This window comes from Homo sapiens, chromosome 4 (assembly GCF_000001405.40).
Source record: "Homo sapiens chromosome 4, GRCh38.p14 Primary Assembly".
Classification (NCBI taxonomy): domain Eukaryota; kingdom Metazoa; phylum Chordata; class Mammalia; order Primates; family Hominidae; genus Homo; species Homo sapiens.
In genome coordinates this window covers 73088011-73110973 of record NC_000004.12, presented here as the reverse complement: position 1 = coordinate 73110973, position 22963 = coordinate 73088011, and the positions used below count along the sequence as shown (strand labels likewise).

The 22963-nt window shown below is 38.9% G+C and overlaps 1 protein-coding gene, 1 long non-coding RNA gene and 1 pseudogene across 18 annotated transcripts in view; 1 reads left to right on the top strand and 2 right to left on the bottom strand.

Moving 5' to 3' along the window:
* The window catches only part of ANKRD17 (ankyrin repeat domain 17), a 185423-nt gene that overhangs the window by 147825 nt on the left and 14635 nt on the right, over nt 1-22963 (top strand). For 12 of the 17 annotated variants that reach the window (XM_005265671.5, NM_198889.3, NM_015574.2 and 9 more), the window contains 5 exons: nt 8427-8598; nt 12454-12901; nt 13702-13857; nt 16746-16895; nt 18674-20307. In XM_005265671.5, coding sequence (XP_005265728.1) covers nt 8427-8598; nt 12454-12901; nt 13702-13857; nt 16746-16895; nt 18674-20307 — 2560 coding nt within the window. Of the gene's footprint in view, nt 1-8426; nt 8599-9800; nt 10118-12453; nt 12902-13701; nt 13858-16745; nt 16896-18673; nt 20308-22963 lie in introns of those variants that run through there. The other 5 variants (XM_047450046.1, XM_047450045.1, XM_047450042.1 and 2 more) reach the window with 1 other exon arrangement.
* Nucleotides 234-6629, bottom strand: LOC124900713 (uncharacterized). Its single transcript, XR_007058138.1, has 2 exons — nt 6541-6629; nt 234-603 (listed from the first exon to the last, which is right to left on the bottom strand). It is a non-coding gene; the product is annotated as an uncharacterized LOC124900713 (long non-coding RNA).
* On the bottom strand, nt 10509-12233 carry HMGA1P2 (high mobility group AT-hook 1 pseudogene 2; annotated as a pseudogene).

Below are 22963 nucleotides of genomic sequence, written 5' to 3'. Positions count from 1 at the left end.
TAACCTTAATGTTTATACTTTCAAGAGCCTTAGTTTTAAGAGAAGTCAAGAGAAGCTTCTTTTAAATATCGTTGTATATTTTTCCATAATATTAAAACCAAAAGCTAATGAAGAATTCTTAATCATTAATCAATTCTATCTAAATTGATTCCTGCACATGCATTATATACTTTTATGTATAGTTTTGAGTGAACGTGGAACATATGTAAAATTTTTAATTATAGAGAAGCCACTTTTTTCCTGAACTACAGCCCATATTTTTATTTGAAAGATTATCACATTGGGATATTAGAGTTTGGCTCACTATTTTTTAATTATAATTTACATCTGGGAAAATGGACTTCTTTAGCCTTTTGAGATATATTACATTCTGGCTTCATCGCTGGAGTTGGTCTTGACTGGTCCAAGTTGAGATTCTCCATACGTAAGTTATTCCTCGTATAAAAGTGCTTCTTTGGTCAGTCTTTCTAATTTGGAAAATTTGGTTTATAAAAACTGCTGCAGAAAACTGGGCATGGTGGTACATGCTTGTAGTCCCAGCTACTCGGGAGGCTGAGCCCAGGAATTCAAATCCGGCCTGGCCAATGTAGTGAGACCCAGTCTCTACAAAAGAAAAAGAGATCAGTGGCCATTATGTTAAGGCCAGCAGATTTTTTAATACTTATTAAGTAAACATTTATTTATTGAGCATTTACTAAGTGGAAGAGTCCCTGCTCTGAAGTAGTTCCATCTGGTCAAGTTATGGAATCTTCTTAACAGTTAATTGCTTGCTCTCAGAACATTAACAACTAAGTTACGTTCTTGGCTGTTAGAATCCCTAGCAGATATTTTAAACTTACATTTTTGATATAATTATTTCACCCCCTTCACTTCATTTTAGTTTTTTTCCTCTACCTTTTTTTACCCCCTTCACTTCATTTTAGTTTTTTTCCTCTACCTTTTTTTTTTTTTTTTTTTTTTTTGGTAAACTTTTAGGGAGCTAGGTAATAGTATATTTTTCAAACACAACCTATCCCATTCTCGGTTTCACACATTTCATTCTCTGATTATTGCTTTCTATCTTTTCAACTTTACTCCCTCTAGAATTCTACTTTTAATAATCCTGCCAACACCACCGACCAATAAATGGTAAGAACCATTTATGTCATACTACCCTTTCATTGTTTCTTACTCCTTTCTTCTTATTCTCACATGAACCTCAGTAACTAAACGTGTCGAGAAAAAACAATCTTTATGACTAATTTTACTTGAAATGTGTGACAACGAACCCTTTTATGCTGACAGTAGCTTTACTAGATTTCCCTAGCCCTTTAATGCTGACCAGTAGTTAAAATGCTGCATTTCCTTAGTTTAATTTAGTCTTCCATTCATTTAGACCACTGTTTCTTACTTTCTCCCTTATCCTAGGAACTCCAGCACCACCTCTCTTTCACCTTCAGTAGGTGACCTTGCATCCTGAGAAAATTGAACTATCAGAAGAAAACTTGCAAAGACTTTACCTACACCATCTATCTGCCCACCAATACCTGCACCTCCTCTTCTTTACCTTTAATGAGAAAATGGAAGCATCAAAAGAAAACTTCCAAAGACTTTGCCTACCCTATCTATCCACCCACCAATATCTACACCCATATACTTCCTACCAGTGACTAGATAAAGTTTTTTTTTTTTTTTGAGACAGCGCCTCACTCTGTCACCCATGCTGCAGAGCAGTGGTGCGATCTCAGCTCACTGTGACCTCCACCTCACAGGTTGAAGTGATCCTTCTGCTTCACCCTCCCAAGTAGCTGGGATTACAGGTATGGGCCACCATGCCCTACTAATTTTTGTATTTTTGGTAGAGACTGGGTTTCACCATGTTAGCCAGGCTGGTCTCGAACTCCTGACCTCAGGCAATCTGCCCGCCTTGGCCTCCCAAAGTGCTGGGAATAACAGGCGTGAGCCATCATGCCCAGCCTAGATAAATTTTTGGTAACCAGTCCCTTCATTGTGTACCAGATCCTATATGGTTTCTCCTTCTCAACAGCACTGTCCGTAGCAATTCCTTTTCTTTCTCCTATTTTTTTCCCTCTCTTGAATCATTCTCATCAGCATACACACTTATTTCTCCAATCTTAAACACAGAAAACCTTTTGACTTCAACCCTCTTGCCTCAACCTTTTAGCTACAGACCCATTTCTCTGCCTCCCTTTGCGGTAAAGATCCCTGAACCGCCGCTTTCAGTCACCTCCATTTTTTCTTCCATTATCCTGAATCTGTTCCTGACAGGCTGGCTCTCAACTCCCACAACTCACTAAAATTATGCTTTTGTGGTTTCCAGTAACTTTCATATAGCTAAATCCAATGGTTACTTCTCCTCTCCATCTTTTATCTTACTGAACTAATAACATTTGATATACTCTCTTCACTTGGCTTTCATGCCACTACAGGCTCTTTTTTTCCTCCTACCTGTCTGGATGTTCCTGTGTCCTCTTGCTGGTTCCTCCTCTTCTCCCCTACCTTTTAGCGAAAAGCCTTTTGACTTGTTACATGGTCTTCTTTATCCACTGGTGGTCTTATCCTGCCCCCTAACTTTAAATGTACACCAGTTGATTCCAAATTTGTATCTCTAGCCCAGACTTCTTTGCTAAACTTCAGTCTCGTGTATTCAGCTAGCTATTCAACATGTCCATTTGAATACCTTATTAGGCATCTCACACTTGATGTGTCCAAATATGAACTCCTGATCCTTGCCCACCCCAAACCCACAACTCTTATTGCTCAGGCCAGAAACCTTGAAATCATCCTTAATTTCTCTCTATACTCCATCGCGTTGAAAAATCCCGTTACCTTTGCCTGAAAATTAGCTACTCAGGAGGTGGAGGTGGGAGGATCACCTGAGCCTGGGGAGGTCACTGCGGTGAGCTGTGATTGTGCTACTGTACTCCAGCTTAGGCAACAGTGTGAGACCTTCTCTCAAAATATAGATATATAATCTTAATCACTTCTCACCATGGTTCAAACAATTAATTTAATCTCATACCTGCATTAGTCATTTAACTGGTCTCCCTGATTCCATCATTGCTTGTAGTTTATGTAGCACCCTGATCCTCTTCAATTATCTAAATCAAATCATATCACACTTCTGTTCAGAGCCCGACAATGACTTTCCCTCTCAGTAAAAGACAGTCTTTAAAATGCTCTGCAAGGCCTTAGGTGATCAAGCCTCCTGATACTGTTCCCCGAAACTCATTTGCTACTGTTCTTAGCCACGCTAGCTTACTTGAATATACTGGGTCCAGTTCTAACTTAGAGCTTTTGTACTGGCTTTTCTCTTTGGCTGAAATATTTTATGTCCTTCAGGTGTTCACTTAACTTCATCTCATGAGGGGTACACTGATTACCCTATTTAAAAATCAAAACCCTCCATTTGTCTCCATACACACATTTTTCATCTCGCTGCTCTTTTCCCCTTTTTTACATTGCACTTATCACCTTTTAACAAACTATAATGTATGCATTCTATTTATCTGTATCCACCCTCCCCTAACCAACTAAATGTAAACTTGAAGACAGGGATGTTTTATCCGGTTTACTGATGAAACTAGAACCGTGCATAGCACATAGCAAGTTACCAGAAAATTTTTGTTGGATCTTTCCCCTACCTTCCTTTGAAACTTCTTGATCTCTTTCTGCTGTTGATATTACTACTCTTTATTGAGAAATGAAATCTTGATGCTACTTTTAGGTTCTCAATTATTTTTGCCTCCCATTCTTTACATCCAGTAAATGAATTAACTTGGTGAGTTAACTTAGACCAGTATCTGGCACATATTAGACCCTCTATATATTAGCTGTATCAGCACTGTCATCATGATTATTATCATCATCACTACCATCACCTTTTATTTAGCTTTGGCAGTCTCTGTGTCTGCCTTCTGTTCCATCCACTTCCTCTCTGAGTGATCACTTCTCACCCAAAATTTTGCATTTGGCTTCTTAAAAGTCTACCTGTATACATATCTGTGTCTCTCTCTTATCTTTTGTCTTCAGTATTCCTTTTCTGCTCCGGTGTAACTTTTACAGTTTCGCTTTTTTTTTTTTTTTTTTTTTTTTAAAGACGGAGTCTCACTCCATTGCCAGGCTGGAGGGCCATGGCGCAATCTCGGCTCACTGCAACCTCCGCCTCCTGGGTTCAAGCGATTCTCCTGCCTCAGCCTGCCGAGTAGCTGGGACTACAGGTGCGCACCACCACACCCAGCTAATTTTTGTATTTTTAGTAGAGATGGGGTTTCACCATATTGGCCAGAATGGTCTTGATCTCTTGACATCGTGATCTGCCCACCTTGGCCTCCCAAAGTGCTGGGATTACAGGCGTGAGCCACCGTGCCCAGCCCGCGTATTTTTTTAATACACAGGTGGGATGCCTTACTTTCTCCTCAGAAACCCTCAGTGCCTCTTCGTTGATTGCATGGGAAATTCTAAACATTCAGGTCTTCTCTCTTATTTCTCCAGGCTCATCTTTCACTATGGTTTGCTACTTCTCACATATCCCATTCACTTTCATATATCTAAATCTGCAGTATTTGTTTAGTCTGGACTGGCTTTCCCCAAGTCCTTAAATTCTTATCTTATAAAGCCTAACTCCCAAGTGTCACTTTGTTTCCTGAGCCCTCAATTAGAAATCATCAGTTGGGTTAGTGCCCTTTCCCATTCCACAGTGAAGTTATTTTTATTTATTTATTTTTTTTGAGACGGAGTCTTGCTCTGTTGCCCAGGCTGGAGTGCAGTGGCGCGATCTCGGCTCACTGCAAGCTCCGTCTCCCAGGTTCACGCCATTCTCCTGTCTAACTTGACCCTTTTTCTCAGAGCCTCTAACCTCCCCCACACACACTAACAAACATGACAGCAGTTCTCCAAGAAGTAAAATGAGATTTAGGCTTATGAGAGAAAGTGAGAGAAAATATAGAAAGTGAGACTGAATTTTTAGTTTTATTTTCTTATGCCTCTGGACGTATTTGAATCTTCATGGTTTAGTTACTCTTTCCATATGCTGTCTGGGATTTTCTATCAGTTATTAGCACCTCTCCCTATGCCTTTATCTTCAATTTCTACTGTTTTACTAACTCCTACCCACTACCTACAGCTTCAGTCAAGGCAGAGGTACAATCAGGGTAGCTCTATCCTAATGGAACTTTTTCTCAAATTTAGTATTTTGCCTTTCTTTTAATGCTTATAATAATCTCTATGTCTTATTAACTATTTTAAATTAAATCTTAGGTCTGAACCATGTGACCTCCTTCTCCAATAAACTAACTGTGGTGGAGGTAACCAATGGCATCTTAACTGACAAATCCTTCTTTTTTTTAAATTTTATTTTTTGTTTCTTTTCAGTTCACAAAGCACGCCAAATCCATTTACCTCTTTTCAGTTCTTATTGATGCCCACCACTTTTGTGAGGTTTACCAGTGTTGATCTGGCCTTCCTTTTCCCATTGGAGTTGCTTTCTCCTGTTTGTCTTCCTCTGATTATGCCTTTCAGAAGCCTCATTTGTTCTTCCTTTACCCCTTAGATATTCTGTCACACACACATATACATAAACTCTCTTTATATATGTATAATATCTATATATTTTATTATATATAGTAAAATAGTAGGTGTATGTGTGTATGTATACACACACACACAGTTACACCTTTTTCCTCTGGTTACCTCATTTGTTAGTTTCAGCTACCGCCTGCAAACTTATGATGCCTCTTAAATCCTGTATCTGTTGATCCACACTTGCTAATTCTGCTTACTTTTAGAGCTCCGTGCCATGTAAAGTTGGGTCATTTTGTAGCCATAACTTGGTATCTCCCCCCAGAAGGTTTCCCTAGGACCTCTGAATTAGTGCCCTACCTACTCTCAGTGAATTCAGAGGGTTAGTAAAATATATCAGATTATCAAAACGCCGGCTTTAAAACTTCAAAATTTAGAAACGAGCAAATACTTACCTCTTAGGGTTAAACTCTGAAGTTCGATAATCCAAACTCATATTACTCTTGCCAAAGGGCTACCCCTGACTGACTCTGCCAGCCCTGAGAAATTTACATATCTAAGACCCAGCCACACCCTATGACCTACCCAAACCTACCACCCCCATCAACATCTAGGACATATGGGCTTAAATGAAATCCTGCTTTCTGAATTAAAACTCTTATTCTTTTAAAAAAAATTCTCCACCCCCAAATCCCCCCCACCTCCCGCTTAAATAGCAGTCATAATTAGCTCCTGCTACCAGGTAAGTACAAAATTCCAGCAAAATGAACAACCCATCATGGATGAGCCAAAATTCTAAAACTTCATTTGCTGTTTTGATTCTCCCCCAAAGCATTCCTTTCCCAGGATTTTTCTGTCTATACAGATACGATACAGATAAAATATTGATTTTGTTATTCCTAATCCTGAAGTAGAGAGACTTAATACACACTTGTAGCCATAGCTGCTTTGATAATACGTTTTTCTGGTGCACGTTTCACCTTTGCTTTCACTCCTCCTCTCCCTCTTATACTTACTTACCTGTTCCACAAAATCAAAGCTAGACAGAACAAGCACACTTCTCCCTCCTTCACTGGGGTCCACGTGGAGAAAACACATAAGCAAGGCTCAAATGAGCTGAGTCACACATGCTCAGTTTCTTCTTTCAAACTCACCAATCAGATATTACTCCTCCCTTGTGGTGATCCAGGGAGTAAAGGTCACCAGTTACTGTTTTGTTCCTAATACTTCAGCAGGGGTAAAAGCTCCTCTACTGATCTTCAGACTGGAGCTTTCTGGGAGTCCAGCAGAAATTTCCAGGGTTACGATGCAGGCAGTTTCTGTATCTTTAGCTTTTAGATGCATTCTTTCCTAAAATCGATTTGCTGGAGAAAGTATGGGTATTCTACCTACAGGTTTTCCTTCACTGTTGCCCTTTTCAGGAACAAGACTTATCTCTCACCTAGCCTAAGGTAAGTATGTTGCATTACCGCAGGGTGTAAAAACCTGGTGGTGGGCCAAACTTTTCAAGAACCTAGCAGAGAGCTGGTTTGAGTGTCATGGGTTATCAGAACTTATTAACGTTAGTGTCACTAAAGTTGGTATACAACCCCCAGCTGCTAAATTTGGCTTAAAAAAAAAAAAAACCGGAGAGGGTTAATTTGAAAGGCAGGACAGAGAGTATCTAGCAAAAGCACAGCACTTAAAAGATGAAGTCAGACTTTTTTGAATGAAAACTAAATATTGTTTGGCTTATGAATTTATGAGGACTGGTTTTACATGTTGTAGGCTCCATGCCTTAACTGACATTGTTTTGACACATATTTAAAATACACATAAAATAATTCAGAATGCTAGATTATGGGTGGAGAATAGTTTTTAAAAAACATCTTTTAGATGACATGCAGACAGAGTTTGAAGATGATTTTCATACCTTTATGAGCCAAGAAAGAAAATTTAACAGTTAAAATAGTTTATTAAGATATATTTTTGGACTTTTAAACCTACAGTTAGTTTTTTGACTATGAAAGTAATAATGTACTCATTTTAACAAATAGAAACACTGTATAGTTATATAAAGTAAAATTGAAAGTCACCATCATTCTGCTATCCCTCCTCCTGTTCCACCCTCCAGAGGTAGTCTCTGTTACCCTTTTATTTATAACTTTTATGGTTTTTTTTTCTGTATTTATACAAATCGATGCACAAAGAGGGTTCTCTTCTCTCATAAAAGTGATTATTAGTCTTCAGTGTGCCTTTTTTTCTCCTAACAAATGTAAACTGGGAGCATTTTCCCAAGTACATATTTATAATACTTACGGTGCCTATCTAGTATTCTGTGAATATATACTGTTAATTTATTCCTTCCCATTGACAGACTTACCTTGTTTCCATGTATTGCCATTATAATCAATTTGCAAAGAAAATTGCTGAACCCTTGTTTTTTCACTAGAGATAGACATTTTATATAATAAGTTGTTGGGATAAGCAGTTTGTAATTTTTGTTAGGAAGCTTTCAAATTACTTTTTCTAAAATGTAAATATTCATGCCCGCAGCAGTACAGGAGAGAATTCAGTTTCTCAAACTTGTGCTGATATCTGATACCTTTTTAAATTTCGCCAAATTAATGATCAAAAAATGGTATTTTGTCGGTTCAACTTACATGTCCTTAATGATTAAAAGCTATGTATCTGTTTATTATTTACCCATTTTAAAATTAGTCTTATATTGTTAATTTGATCTTGATATTGTAAAAATATTGTCTCTTTAGAGTGGTTTGAATATGATCTTGATAAAACAATGAATTGAACTAGATGACTTTGAATTTTATGATATCATGGTTTCCTTATGATTAAATGATTATGTGACAACTTCTTCTCCAGGGTAAATTTCAACGTTATATTTCTGCTTTATTGATCTTTAACAGTTAAGGGAAGAAAGTCGGAGGCTGGCTTTGGCTGCGAAAAGAGAAAAAAGAAAAGAGAAGAGAAGGAAGAAAAAGGAAGAACAAAGAAGGAAACTAGAAGAAATTGAAGCCAAAAATAAAGAGAACTTTGAACTCCAAGCTGCTCAAGAAAAAGAAAAGCTTAAAGTTGAAGGTATTTTCTCTTAACAACCATCCCATTTGTTTTATATTCTAGTTAAAATTATATTTACTTGATTATCAGTCACTCTTGAAAATATGCTTTCAAGTTATTAACCCCTTAACATAGGCCAGGCACAGTGGCTCACGCCCGTAATCCCAGCATTTTATGGCAGGTCAAGGTGAGCGAGTCACTTGAGTCTAAGAGTTCAAGACCAGCCTGGGCAACAAAGTGAGACTGTCTATACAAAAAAAGGAAAAAAATTTTTTTTAATTATCTGGACACAGTAGCATACTCCTGTAGTCCCAGCTAGCTACTGGGGATTGGGGGGATGGGGAGGTAAGGTGGGAGGATCACTTCAGCCTGGGAGGTTGAGACTGTCATGAGCCATGATCTGGCACCACTGCACTCCAGCCTGGGTGACAGAGCAAGACCTTCTATCAAAAAAAAGAGAAAAGAAAAGATATATGCTTTTTTTTTGTTGACTGAATTCCTCCCTAACTTTATTATGAAAAGTTTCAAAACTACAGACAAGTTGACAGATGATAAAATGAATACCTGAATACATTCCACCTAGATTGACAAAATTGTTAAAATTTTACCATATTTGCTTTATTTTTCTCTTTAAGTACTTGTACATATTTTTTTCTGAGCCATCTAAAAGTAAATTGCAGAATTGCAGACATCCTGACATTGCGCCTATAAATCCTTTTTTTTTTTTTTTTTGAGACCGAGTCTTGGTCTGTTGCCCAGACTGGAGTGCAGTATTATGCTCTCGGTTCACTGCAACCTCCGTTTCCCGGGTTCAAGCTATTCTCCCACCTTAGCCTCCCAAGTAGCTGGGACTACAGGGACGTGCCACCATGTCCCCCTAATTTTTGTATTTTTAGTAGAGATGGGGTTTTGCCATGTTGGCCAGGCTAGCCTCTAACTCCTGATCTCAAGTGATCCCCCCTGCCTCAGCCACCCAAAGTACTGGGATTACAGGCATGAGCCACTGCGCCAGCCACCTATAAATAATTAAGCCCACATCCCAAGAATGACATTTGCTTACATCATCATAATACCATTTTAGGTATTATAAATGGTAATTTCATAATATCATCTACAATCCAGATCATCGATTTCTTCAAATGAAGGAATCATTTTTAACTAGGTTATAATCAAAAGGTTATTTGGGATGGAAGTATAGTAATCCTGTCCCTTTATATCCACAGGGGATGGTTTCCAGGACCCTCACGGATACCAAAATTCAGATACTCAAGTCTTTATATAACATGGTGTAATATTTGCATAAAAATTATGCACATTCTCCCATATACTTTAAATCATCTCTACATTACCTCTAATACCTAACGCAAATGCTATGTAAATAGTTGTTATACTGTATTTTTTAAATTCGTATTTGTTTTTTGTTTTGTTTTTTGAATACTTTCAATCTAGTGTTGGTTAAATCTATGGATAAAGAGGACTGACTGTATTGTGGGAAGGAACCATTGCCATGAAACCACCAAAAATATGTGCATGCAATGTGTGTATGTGTGTGTGTGTTTTGTTTTGTTTTGTTTTTAATTTCCCTTCTCCAGCATTTTATTTTGAAAATTTTCAAACTACAGAAAATTTTAAGGATTAATATGGTAAATACCTCTATGTCACCTACATTTTTAAAACATTTTGGCACACATGGGTTGTGTCTTCTCTTTTTTTGAGTTGTTTGAGGTAAGCTATACATATCATGTGAAATCACCCCCAGATACTTGATTATGTATCTCCCAGAAAGAGGACATTATTTTACATAACTGCAACGACATTAAGAAATTTAATAATTACATAATAATACGTAATATACAGTACATACTTATATTTTCCAAACTGTCCCCCCAATTTTTTTTTCTCCGAGAAAAGGATATATATATATATGTTTTTTTTTTTTATTCAAGTAACTGCAAATAGGAAACCAGAGGGAGAGCCCCAGGCTGGAACAAATCATGGCTACCCCTCCCCAACAGAACAGGGGGAGGGGGTGGTCCCTACACCCTTTATGGTCGATTCAGGCCCCCTTGCTCACTCTGCTGCAGCATCCTAGGGGCAGGGCCCCACCTTCCTTGGGACTGGGGTGGTCGGTCACCCAGCCTGCCATGTGCCAGCCCCTCTTCCCCACAAAGAGTATCTTAGGGGAGGGGATCGTGGCCAGAACAGGAGGCAATGAGGATGAACATTTGGTGCTGGTAGCGGCAGCAATAACGGATGTCGAAGAATGGAACACTGAACAAAAAACACCACCACTGTCCAGAGGTAGTTTGTGAACAGAGGAAAAATGGAACCAGAACCTTGGGGGGCAGGGAGGAGCAGGAGGGTTGGGAGCAGGCAGGGTGAGCTCCTTGTTATTGGTGCCCCTTCTGAGGAGGGGGAAATGGCTGAGTGGCAGAAGCAAAGTAAGTATGGGGGAGCGGCCCCAGCCCATCTCAGGTAGCCACAGGGCTTGTGGGCCTCACCTGGACAATAAATGACTGCATCTCCATCACCGCAATGTGTACTCAGATCCCAGGTGGAGGGCAACGGGGCTGGGGCCACAGTGAAGAGGAAGTAAGAGGCTCACACCCCTCCTGCCTTCCTGTAGCCAAAGGGGACTGTCCAACCTAGTGCAGGGACTAGGGGAGGTGGGAAAGGATGAAAAGTGTGAACCCCACATAGTGACAAACACAGTTTGGCTGGGGGAATCCTGGCGCCAGCACCCCCTCCATTGGCCACACCTGCTGCTAGGGCAGTGGAGTAGGGCATGCCAGGATGAGATGGGGCTTGGGCCCCTTTTAAGGCCAGGGGAATCCTCCCAGACCACACTATGGGAAGCCAGAGGGAACAGTGGAGGAGCAGAGAGGGTGCCCCCATCACCAGAGAGCAGTGTTGCTACTACTAAGGGAGTGGGGATGCAGCATGTGCAGGGTGTGGCTAAGTGGGATGTTAGCATTGTCCAGGAGGGTACGTGTGTATGTGTGGGTGGTTGCGGGGAGCTGGGAACTGAGGCCAGGGGAAAACTGCTTCCCACTCAGCCCATGGGGCCCCTGCAGTGGCTGGTGTGCTGTGTAGTGTGGTGGTGAGGGTGCAGGTGGAAGGATGGGGGTGGCAGCCGGAGGCAGTGGTGATGGTGAGCCTGGGAAAGGGGCGGGGGCGGTGGGAGCGGAGCAAAAGCTGTCCAGTCCCAGAAGGAAGCTGCTCCTTCAGTGAGGCACAGGCAGCACACACGGTCACTGCTCCTCCTCTGAGGACTCCTGCCAGATGCCCTCCTCTTCCTCCTTCTCCAGTTTTTTGGGTCTGCCCCTTGGTTTCCTTCCTGGAGTTGTGGTGGTTTTCCGGGTCTTGGCAGCTCCCTTGTTTTTGCTTCCCTTTGGTTGGCCCCAAGGTCTCTTAGGTGTTGGCACTTCACTGGGCTCCTTCTGACTCCCTACCAGTGCTGTCCCGGAACTCACCAGAGGCTGCTTGCGGGGCCTGCCCCGGCCCCGCTTCTCAGTGCTGTCCATTTCCTGCTTGGAGGCCAAGGGCTGGCTGGACTTCAAGCTCGACTCACTCATCTTCCCTTCTCTAAGGAGCAGGTGGAAGATTGATGGCTGGAATGGCCTTCCTGGAGCCACGCCAGCACCAGAAATGCCCCCCAAAATATTTTTTATAACTACCTGCTATTCTTTGAACAGAACGTGGGTACACAGAGTATATCAGTCCTATCCAGCTCATTACCGATGAATGTGAGAATAACTTACATGGCTAATAGTAGTAGAGTATCTCTCCTGGGTTTTTCTTTTCTTCAAGTGCTTATAGCTAAATACATTCTGGGAACACTTAGAACTTGCTAATTCAGTATTGCTACTTTTACAGATGAGCCTGAAGTCTTGACAGAACCTCCAAGTGCCACAACCACTACTACCATAGGTATATCTGCAACCTGGACAACTTTGGCAGGTTCTCATGGTAAAAGAAATAATACCATAACTACAACCAGTTCAAAGAGGAAAAACAGGAAAAATAAAATTACTCCAGAAAACGTTCAAATTATATTTGATGATCCACTACCAATTTCATACAGTCAGCCAGAGAAGGTGAATGGAGAGTCCAAGAGCAGCAGTACCAGCGAGAGTGGGGACAGTGATAACATGAGGATTTCCAGCTGCAGCGATGAAAGTAGTAACAGCAACAGCAGTCGTAAGAGTGACAATCATTCACCAGCTGTGGTCACTACCACTGTGAGCAGCAAAAAGCAGCCATCAGTTCTTGTTACATTTCCAAAGGAAGAGAGAAAATCTGTTTCTGGCAAGGCTTCAATAAAGTTAGTTCCAATTTTTATTTTCAATATTTATAGTGTCATCATGAAATACCTTATTACTGAATTTGTTGGTAAAGAAAGTAAATTTGCAACTTGCAAAATAGGATTTTTCTTTGTGCTAAAGAAGGTACTGTTTCAATTGAATTGAAGAATAAGCTTTTGTTTAGATTTTATATAATGAGACATCAAATTATTTTTACTATGTAATTTCTTTTTTTTTTGGTTGTTAAACTTAGCACATGAAAAATATGGATTGTGGTTTCCAAGGGATTATTACTGTGATTAAACTCTGCTAAATGTGTACCCTAGATAGTATCTTCTTAAAGTTGGCTCTTCAGGCTGGGTGCAATGGCTCATGCTTATAATAATAGCTCTTTGGGAGGCCAAAGTGGGAGGATTGTTTGGGCCCAGGAGTTCAACACCAGCCTGGACAACATAGGGAGACCCTGTCTCTACAAATAATTTTTTTTTTTAATTAGCCAATGTGATGGCATGCACCTGTGGTCCCAGCTACTCAGGAGGCTGAGGCAGAAGGATCACCTGAACCCGAGAGCTCAAGGCTGCAGTGAGCTGTGATTGCACTGTTGCGCTCCAGCCTGGGTAACAGAGCAAGACCTGTCTCAAAAAGAAAAAAAAAAAAAGGCTCTCTATATTATATGCTAAATATGAGGAGAAGTGAAAAATAAGGTCGTCATTTGTTATTTAAAAATAAATTTTTAAAAATTGGGTAGTAGACTACCTTTATCATTTAAAAATTCTACATCTGTTCCATATTTAATGTACTTTCCCTCTCTTTGTTAAAGATTGTCAGAAACTATCAGTGAAGGGACCAGTAATTCTCTATCTACTTGTACAAAATCTGGTCCATCTCCCCTTTCTTCTCCAAATGGGAAGTTAACAGTAGCAAGTCCTAAGCGTGGGCAAAAGAGGGAAGAAGGATGGAAAGAAGTTGTAAGAAGGTGAGTAATTGTTTTTGTCATTCTTTTTATGTGCTATATATCACAGTCAAGTGTTATCTACCTTATAATTAAATTCCTCCTACTCTTCTAAAGGTTGCAAACAAACTGATGGTTCAAGGCTAAATTTGACCAACAGAGAGAGCCTGTGCCATATTTTAGATGAAAAAAATTACGTGTTAATTTGGCCCCTCAAAAGTATTGGAGTTTGCTTTGAGAACTATTTTAGATTGTGTCTTTCTCAGCTTCGTTATCTCAAAGCCTTATATAATACAAAGAAGTATTATAAAAGCTACTTGTAAACATTTGATGAATTAGTAGGTATTGATGTTAAACTGTTGATCTAATCATAGTAACTGTTGTCTTTAAATCATAAGATAACTTTATTTTAAGGGTTTCAGGATAAAAATATTTTGTTTTGCATGGGATTTTAAAAATAATATGTATCCAAGAGTAAAAATACAATATCTCAGAAACGTAAAAGGAGGTAAGACACCTGAAATCCAGAAAGAATGTGATCCATTGTCACTCTTTGATAACTTATTTTAAAGAACTTTCCGGAAATTTCGTAAAAATTTAAACTTTTGGTTATCTGAAACAAAAGCTATAGTGAACCAAACTTAGTAACTACTGTTAATCCCTAAGTGCAGTATACAGGTTTTTGGCTTATTTCCTCCGTATTTTAGACCAAATCTTGTCCCCGTCATACCTATGTTTATTTCTGTCTCTATTTTCACACACTATACACACATTCTTTCTTTCACTCCTTCACATACACACTCTATTGGATTAATTGAAATCACATCATCAGAATATTCTCTATACACTAATAAGATAATTTGGTTTTTGTATATGCATTTAATACTGTGTTATACAGTTTGGAAATGATGATCACTGGCTGATTATCATGCTCTTTAGGTTAAAAAGAGTTGTTAGGTAACTTAGTTGTATATATAGAGAACAGGGATCATGCCCTTCCTTTTAGAAAATATGACAATTTTTAATACTTAACCATTCTCAATAAATAATTTGCTTGTTTATTGAACTATACTTGACTGCTTCTCTTTATTGAGAACTTTATACTGTATTTCTTTTAGAAATATTGTTTAATCAGCTTATCAGGAATTCGGGCCTGACACCTGTGGCTCATGTCTATAATCCCAGCATTTTGGGAGGCCAAGACAAGAGGATCACTTGAGACTATGAGTTCAAGACCAGCCTGGGCAACATAGCAAGACCCCATCTCTGCTAAAAACAAAATTAAAAAATTAGCTGGGCATGTGGTTTGTGCTTGTAATCTCAGCTACTTGGGAAAGGTGGGAGGATTGCTTATGCCCAGGAGTTTGAGGCTGCAGTGAGCTATGATCACACCACTGCATTCCAGCCTGGGTACAGAACGAGACTCTGTCAAAAAAAAAATAATAATAAAGGAAATCTATAATCTATATCTGAATGTTTAAAATTAAAATGTAATTTTGCAAGTATTAGATGGATATTGCTTTTTTTTTTTTTTTTTTGAGATGGAGTTTTACTCTTGTTGCCCAGGCTAGAATGCAATGGCGTGATCTCGGCTTGCTGCAACCTCTGCCTCCCAGGTTGAAGTGATTCTCCTGCCTCTGCCTCCCGAGTAGCTGGGATTACAGGTGCATGCCACCATGCCCGGGTAATTTTTTGTATTTTTAGTAGAGATGAGATTTCACCATGTTGGCCAGGCTGGTCTTGAACTCCTGACCTCAGGTGGACCACCCACCTTGGCTTCCCAAAGTGCTGGGATTACAGGCGTGAGCCACCGTGCCCGGCCTCAGATTTTGCTTTTTAAATTCTAGTAGGATTTTCTTTTTCCGGACATTATTAAAGATTTTTAGAAAGTTTTCATATTTGTGGATGGTCATTTTAATGCTACTATAAGAATACAGGGAAGTAATGAATATTTTTTCTTTTTTCCTGAGAAGGAGTTTCACTCTGTCACCCAGGCTGGAGTGCAGTGGTGCAATCTCAGTCCACAGCAACCTCCATCTCCCGGATTCAAGTGATTCTCCTGCCTCAGCCTCCTGAGTAGCTGGGATTACAGGTGCACACCACCATGCCTGGCTAATTTTTGTATTTTTTTCAGTAGAGACAGGATTTCACTATGTTGGCCAGGCTGGTCTCGAACTCCTGACATAAAGTGATCTGCCTGCCTTGGCCTCCCAAAGTGCTGGGATTACAGGCATGAGCCACCACTCCCAGTCATGAATTTTTAACATCACTCTTTGAGTTATGTATATTAGAGAATAAAAAGAAGCATATGAGTAAAGCACCAAAAGGGGCCCACAAGAAGTCTTTCTTGACTCTTGAGGCTAGATTAGATGCCCAACCAGTATATATACACACACACATATAATATATATATATACACATATATACATGTATATATTATACGTATATACATATATATGTCTATATATACATATATGTATATATAATACATTTGTGTGTGTGTACACACATACTATTGCAACACTCATGACATGGTGGTGTTTTCATAATTAGCGTGTAGATAGTCAATATATGTGGGCAGAAACCCATGTCTGTCTTATTTACCGTTAGTATTTGCATTAGCACAGCACGTGTCTACATAGTATGTGCTTTACCGATACAAGTGAAGAATGATAATCAACAAAGCAAACAATCTTTGATAGTGAGATGAGAAGCTATAATAAAGCTTATCTGTCTGTTGCTCCTGATTGCCTTTTCTCTGTTCATCTAGAGTAAGAGTAAATAGAAGAGGCTTATTCAACAATATTCTGTATTTATAGAAAGACATTTTAGTAATACTCTTTCCTCTTTTAAAAATTACAATAACTATTGTTAATGACTAATCTTAATTTATATATACAACTTTTAAACAGGTCAAAGAAAGTATCTGTTCCATCAACTGTGATATCCAGAGTGATTGGAAGAGGAGGCTGTAATATCAATGCTATTCGGGAGTTTACTGGTGCACACATAGATATTGATAAACAGAAAGACAAGACTGGAGACCGGATAATCACTATAAGGCAAAACTTTGTCTCTTACATTTTCTTCCTTTATTTTATTGCACTATAGCTTAATGAAATACAGCCATATGAGTTTTCAGTGGAACTTTGTGTTACATAGTATACTTTTTAAAATGGGAATTTTATTAGTGTTTGAGAAGATAAATTTTATAGTTTTCTTTTTTCCTAGGTAATACACTTTTGTGAAGTGTTTCAGAGACTTTTATAGGAATTTGTATGCATGTGTAGCAAAGGTTTAAATAAATAATTTCTGTACATAAACTGTTTATATGACATTCTTAAAAATTTGTTCTGAGACTTTTAGGGAGCGCATTTCTAACATTTTAAGCAGTGGGTTTTTGTCTTTCTCAAATAACCTTTGAGATTTGTTATTCTGAGATTGTGTCTTTAGAATTTGAGTTCTTGGGCTGGGCACGGTGGCTCACGCCTGTAATCCCAGCACTTTGGGAGGCTGAGGCGGGCGGATCACCTGAGGTCAGGAGTTCGAGACCAGCCTCAACATGGGGAAACCCCGTCTCTACTAAAAATACAAAATTAGCCGGGCATAGTGGTGCATGCTTGTAATCTCAGCTACTCGGGAGGCTGAGGCAGGAGAATTGCTTGAACCTGGGAGGCAGAGGTTGCGGTGAGCCGAGATCGAGCCATTGGACTCCAGCCTGGGCAACAAGAGTGAAACTCCCTCAAAAAAAAAAAAAAAAAAAAGAATTTGAGTTCAGATTTGAATCTGAAGTGAAGATATAACTTATCTTGAATAACTCGTCGAATATGTCTATGCCTGAATATTCTTAAAATAAAAGTGATGTTCTAAGAAATCATAAGAATGTAGGAAGCTATATTTAATTACTTTAAAGTAAATTCATGTTCCTTTGAAAAAGAGTTTTATATTTTTTACATGGCAGATATAAGTTTGTATGAGGCAGATGCCCCTTTGCATTATATAGGAGAGCTAATAGTTACATCATACCTCAAAAATAAGAAAGCAAGTAGCCATCTCTATTTTATTCATCGTCCTCTCCTTCTGACTGGTTTTCCCCTGGGTATTTGGGTAGTCACAGCCTATCTTATCTAGAAAAGAGGGAACCAGATACCCTTTATTGGTAATTGCTCCCTTGAGTTTCCATAAATATCAAATATTTTCCTGAAGATCCAGCACTAAGGTTTTATATGGCTATTTTTGGCACTATCAGGATTCCTGCATCATTTTAAGACATCTTCCCAGAGGAGTTACAATAATTATCCTATTAATAGACAAACTACTAATGAATTTTTAGTAGACGGAGTCATCCCAGATACCAAGATTTAAAATAAAATACTGTTTTCTTACTCAGTTGTATTATTTTCCTTGTTTACTTCTATTATTTTTAGTGTTGATTAACTGTTTCAATATTTTTAGGATTAAATGTTTCAATAACATTGTGGATTACATAGGCTTTTATGTGCAGTGGTTTTTCTAACTGTAGTGTATTTTACAGTAGGAAAATGGTTTCTTAGTCTAAGGAAACAATAGTGAAATGTATTTTTGAAAAATAAGTCATTTACTATTCTTCTGAAAAATAAAAGTAGTAATTCAGGACAGTTTATTGCTTTGTTTGTAGAATACCTCAGGAATGGTAAGAAAATTGCTGCCCAGCTTTTGTTATCTGTCCTTTGTTTGTATGTGTGTATGTATATACACACAAAACTGTGTGTGTGTTTGTGTACATAAATACATATTAAAAACACTTTACATACTCAAAAGTAGGGAAAATTCTACCTAATTTTTTTTTCTCAATTTATAGGGGTGGCACTGAATCAACAAGACAAGCAACTCAATTGATTAATGCTTTGATCAAGGATCCAGACAAAGAAATTGATGAACTTATTCCAAAGAATCGTTTGAAAAGCTCCTCAGCAAATTCCAAAATAGGGTCATCAGCACCTACCACCACTGCTGCTAACACTTCCTTAATGGGAATTAAAATGACAACTGTAGCTCTGTCATCAACATCTCAAACTGCCACAGCACTCACTGTGCCTGCAATTTCTTCTGCATCCACTCACAAAACCATTAAGAACCCAGTGAATAATGTGAGGCCTGGTTTTCCAGTTTCTCTTCCATTAGCATATCCTCCTCCACAGTTTGCACATGCTTTGCTTGCTGCTCAGACTTTCCAGCAGATCCGTCCACCAAGGTTGCCCATGACCCACTTTGGAGGTACTTTTCCACCAGCTCAATCCACTTGGGGTCCGTTTCCTGTCAGGCCTTTGAGCCCTGCCAGAGCTACTAACTCGCCTAAGCCTCACATGGTGCCTCGCCATAGCAATCAGAATAGCAGTGGTTCTCAGGTGAATTCAGCAGGTTCTTTAACTTCAAGCCCAACAACTACAACCAGTTCATCAGCTTCAACGGTGCCTGGTACATCTACAAATGGCAGTCCAAGTTCACCTTCTGTCCGAAGGCAGCTTTTTGTCACAGTTGTGAAGACATCCAATGCCACCACAACAACAGTCACAACCACGGCAAGCAACAACAACACTGCACCCACAAATGCCACATATCCTATGCCTACTGCCAAAGAACACTATCCAGTATCATCCCCATCTTCCCCATCACCACCAGCCCAGCCAGGAGGGGTTTCTAGAAACAGCCCTTTGGATTGTGGATCAGCATCTCCAAATAAAGTGGCATCTTCCTCCGAACAGGAAGCAGGTAGTCCACCAGTAGTAGAAACAACAAACACTAGACCTCCAAACAGCAGCAGTTCTTCTGGGAGTTCATCAGCTCATTCTAATCAGCAACAACCTCCGGGATCTGTTTCTCAGGAACCAAGACCACCTCTTCAGCAGTCTCAGGTTCCTCCCCCGGAAGTTAGAATGACTGTTCCTCCTTTAGCAACAAGTTCTGCTCCAGTGGCGGTGCCTTCTACTGCCCCAGTGACTTACCCTATGCCTCAGACACCAATGGGATGCCCCCAGCCTACTCCTAAAATGGAAACCCCTGCTATTAGACCACCCCCTCATGGCACAACTGCCCCTCACAAGAATTCAGCTTCAGTGCAAAATTCATCTGTTGCAGTCCTCAGTGTCAATCACATTAAAAGACCTCACAGTGTTCCCTCTTCTGTCCAGCTACCTTCGACCTTAAGTACACAAAGTGCTTGTCAGAATTCAGTACATCCAGCAAATAAGCCTATTGCTCCCAATTTCAGTGCCCCCTTACCATTTGGGCCCTTTAGCACATTGTTTGAAAACAGCCCTACTTCTGCTCATGCCTTCTGGGGAGGATCTGTTGTTTCATCTCAGTCAACACCAGAATCTATGCTATCAGGAAAATCCTCATATTTGCCAAATTCAGATCCTTTACATCAGTCTGATACTTCCAAAGCTCCAGGTTTTAGACCACCATTACAGAGACCTGCTCCAAGTCCCTCAGGTGAGTTTATATTTTCTGAGATTCTGCAGCTGTTCATTTGCACAAGTGATGTGAAAATTCTTGGTCATTTTCTAATATTTTTATTCTCTGGACGATATAGACAAAGATTGTTGGATTTAGTTAACTCAGATGCTGTTGTTTGTGTTTAGTATGGTGTTATTTTTAAAAATCTTTTTAAAAGCTACCATAGATTTTTATTTAATTTTCCATAAATAAGTCTTCTGATCAGGCGGGGTTTTTTTGTTTGTTTGCTTTTTGAGACAGAGTCTCGCTCTGTCACCCAGGCTGGAGTGCAGTGGCATGATCTCAGCTCACCGCAACCTCTGCCTCCCAGATTCAAGTGATTCTCCTGCCTCAGCCTCCCGAGTAGCTGGGATTACAGACGTGCACCACCATGCCTGGCTGATTTTTGTATTTTTAGTAGAGATGGGGTTTCACCATGTTGACCAAGCTGGTCTCGAACTCTCAACCTCAGGTGATTCACCCACCTTGGCCTCCCAAAGTGCTAGGATTACAGGCGTGAGCCACAGTTCCTGGCCTAGGCGTGTTTTTCTCTCTCAGAAGTCTTTCATGTTTTAATTTAATAAGGTACTGTCACCAAAAGTTTACATTTATTACAAATACAAAATAACAGATTTAAAAAATTGGGTTTCATTTCGCATTATCTTTTTTATTTCTAAAATAATTTTAAAAATAGAGCTACACAGTCTGATATGGTAGCCAATAACCATGTGTACTTTTTAAATTTAAATTAATGAAAATTTTAAAAATAAAAAAATTAGCTTCTTAGGCTACCCATATTTAAGTGCTTAAAAAACACTTGTGGCTGGTAGCTACCATATTGGACAGCAAAGATCTAGAACATTTCTATTATCCAAAATTCTACTGGGCAACACTGATATATGTAGAAGATACAAAGATCTCCTGATTGTAAGCTATTGCTTTTTTAAAAAAAACTTTTTACTTTAAAATATTTTTAGATTTATAGAAGAATTCTATAATTCCTCAGCTTCCCTTCATGTGACCATCTTACATAACCATGATACATTTCGAAACTAAAAAAATTAATATTGGTGTAGTACTACTAACTAGACTACAGATTTTAGGCAGATTTCACAAGTTTTTCAAGTAATATCCTTTTTCTATTGTAGGATCTAATCCAGGATGCCAGTTTCCATTTAAAGCTGTTGGGTTTTAATATAAGCATTTCAAGTAATTAAAGATAGTCCACGTAAGAGATGGACACACTATGGTCTATGGGCCAAATTTGGCCTGCTGCCTGTTTTTACATTTCTTAAATGTTTAAAAAAAAATTTTTTTTTTTAAGAATAGGCTTGGCACGGTGGCTTGTGCCCGTAATCCCAGCACTTTGGGAGGCTGAGGTGGGTCGATTGCTTAAGCCCAGGAGTTCCAGACCAGCCTGGGCTTAAGGGGAGACCCCATCTCTACAAAAATATAAAAATTAGCTGGGCATGGTGGTGCATACCTGTAGTCCCAGCTACTTGGGGGGCTGAGGTGGAAGGATGACTTGAGCCCTAGAGGCAGATGTTACAGTGAGCTGAGATCACACCTCTGCATTCCAGCCTGGGTGGAGACCCTGTCTCAAAAAAAAAAAAAAAAATTTAAAAAGAATAAACATGCAACACAAAATATGAAATTTTAATTTCAGTGTTTGTAGAGAAAGCTTTACTGAAACACAGCAATGCCCATTCATTTGCATATTGTATAAGGCTACTTTTATGCTACAATGACAGAATTGAGTAGCTGGGACAGAGACCATGTGACCTGCAAAGCCTAAAATATTTGGTATTTGGCTCTTGGTTGCCAACTCGTTATCTGTGTTATTGGAAATATGACATTCCGGGACAAAAATTTCCAAGTTTAATGGGAACTCAATGTTATTTTTACCTATTTCTGTAACATGTAAATAAAATTTAATGAAGGTGGTCAGTAAATATTCTTTGCTAAAAGTCAACTGAAATATTTATGTGTACTATGAAAAATAATTTATTTTATATTAAAACAATAGAATCAATATAATTAGATTTTAGATCATTATGTGCCAGTGCGTAGGAAATGCTTTAAGTTTGATTTTTATAGTAGTTGGAATTTAATACTTTACCTTTCCAAAAATGTGATAATCTAGGTGTGGGATTCAGAAAGGCTAAAATTAAGCTTTAGAGAACAAAAAAATAAATTCCTATTTTTTGAAAAGGTATAGAAGAAAGACCTCTGTAAGAAAGGTGAGGTTTTTAGGGAGTGTATAGTTGATGAGAGCCAAAATTAGCATTGAAGTTTAACTTACAAGTCAATTACCTAATTCAGGTCATTTTGAGTTAAAGATACTCCTTTTATTACATAGGAAGTATGTCCTTTTATTTTCTCCTAAACCTCTCTCAGATCCTAATTTTCACTTCTCTCTACTTCTTCCTAATTCATTTTGTGTTCCATATTTTTCTTCCTTTGTTTAACTTTTCTTATGTAAATAATTTGATTATTTGTATTTTAGACTCAGATCTGTTTTTATAGTTTGTATTTTGAAAAGTTATTTAAGTCACATAAAGATCTAAGGACAGAATAAGCAGCATAGTAAATACTTGGTATTTCCACATTTATTAATATATTCTCTGCTTGTTAACATCTTTTCAAACTCTCT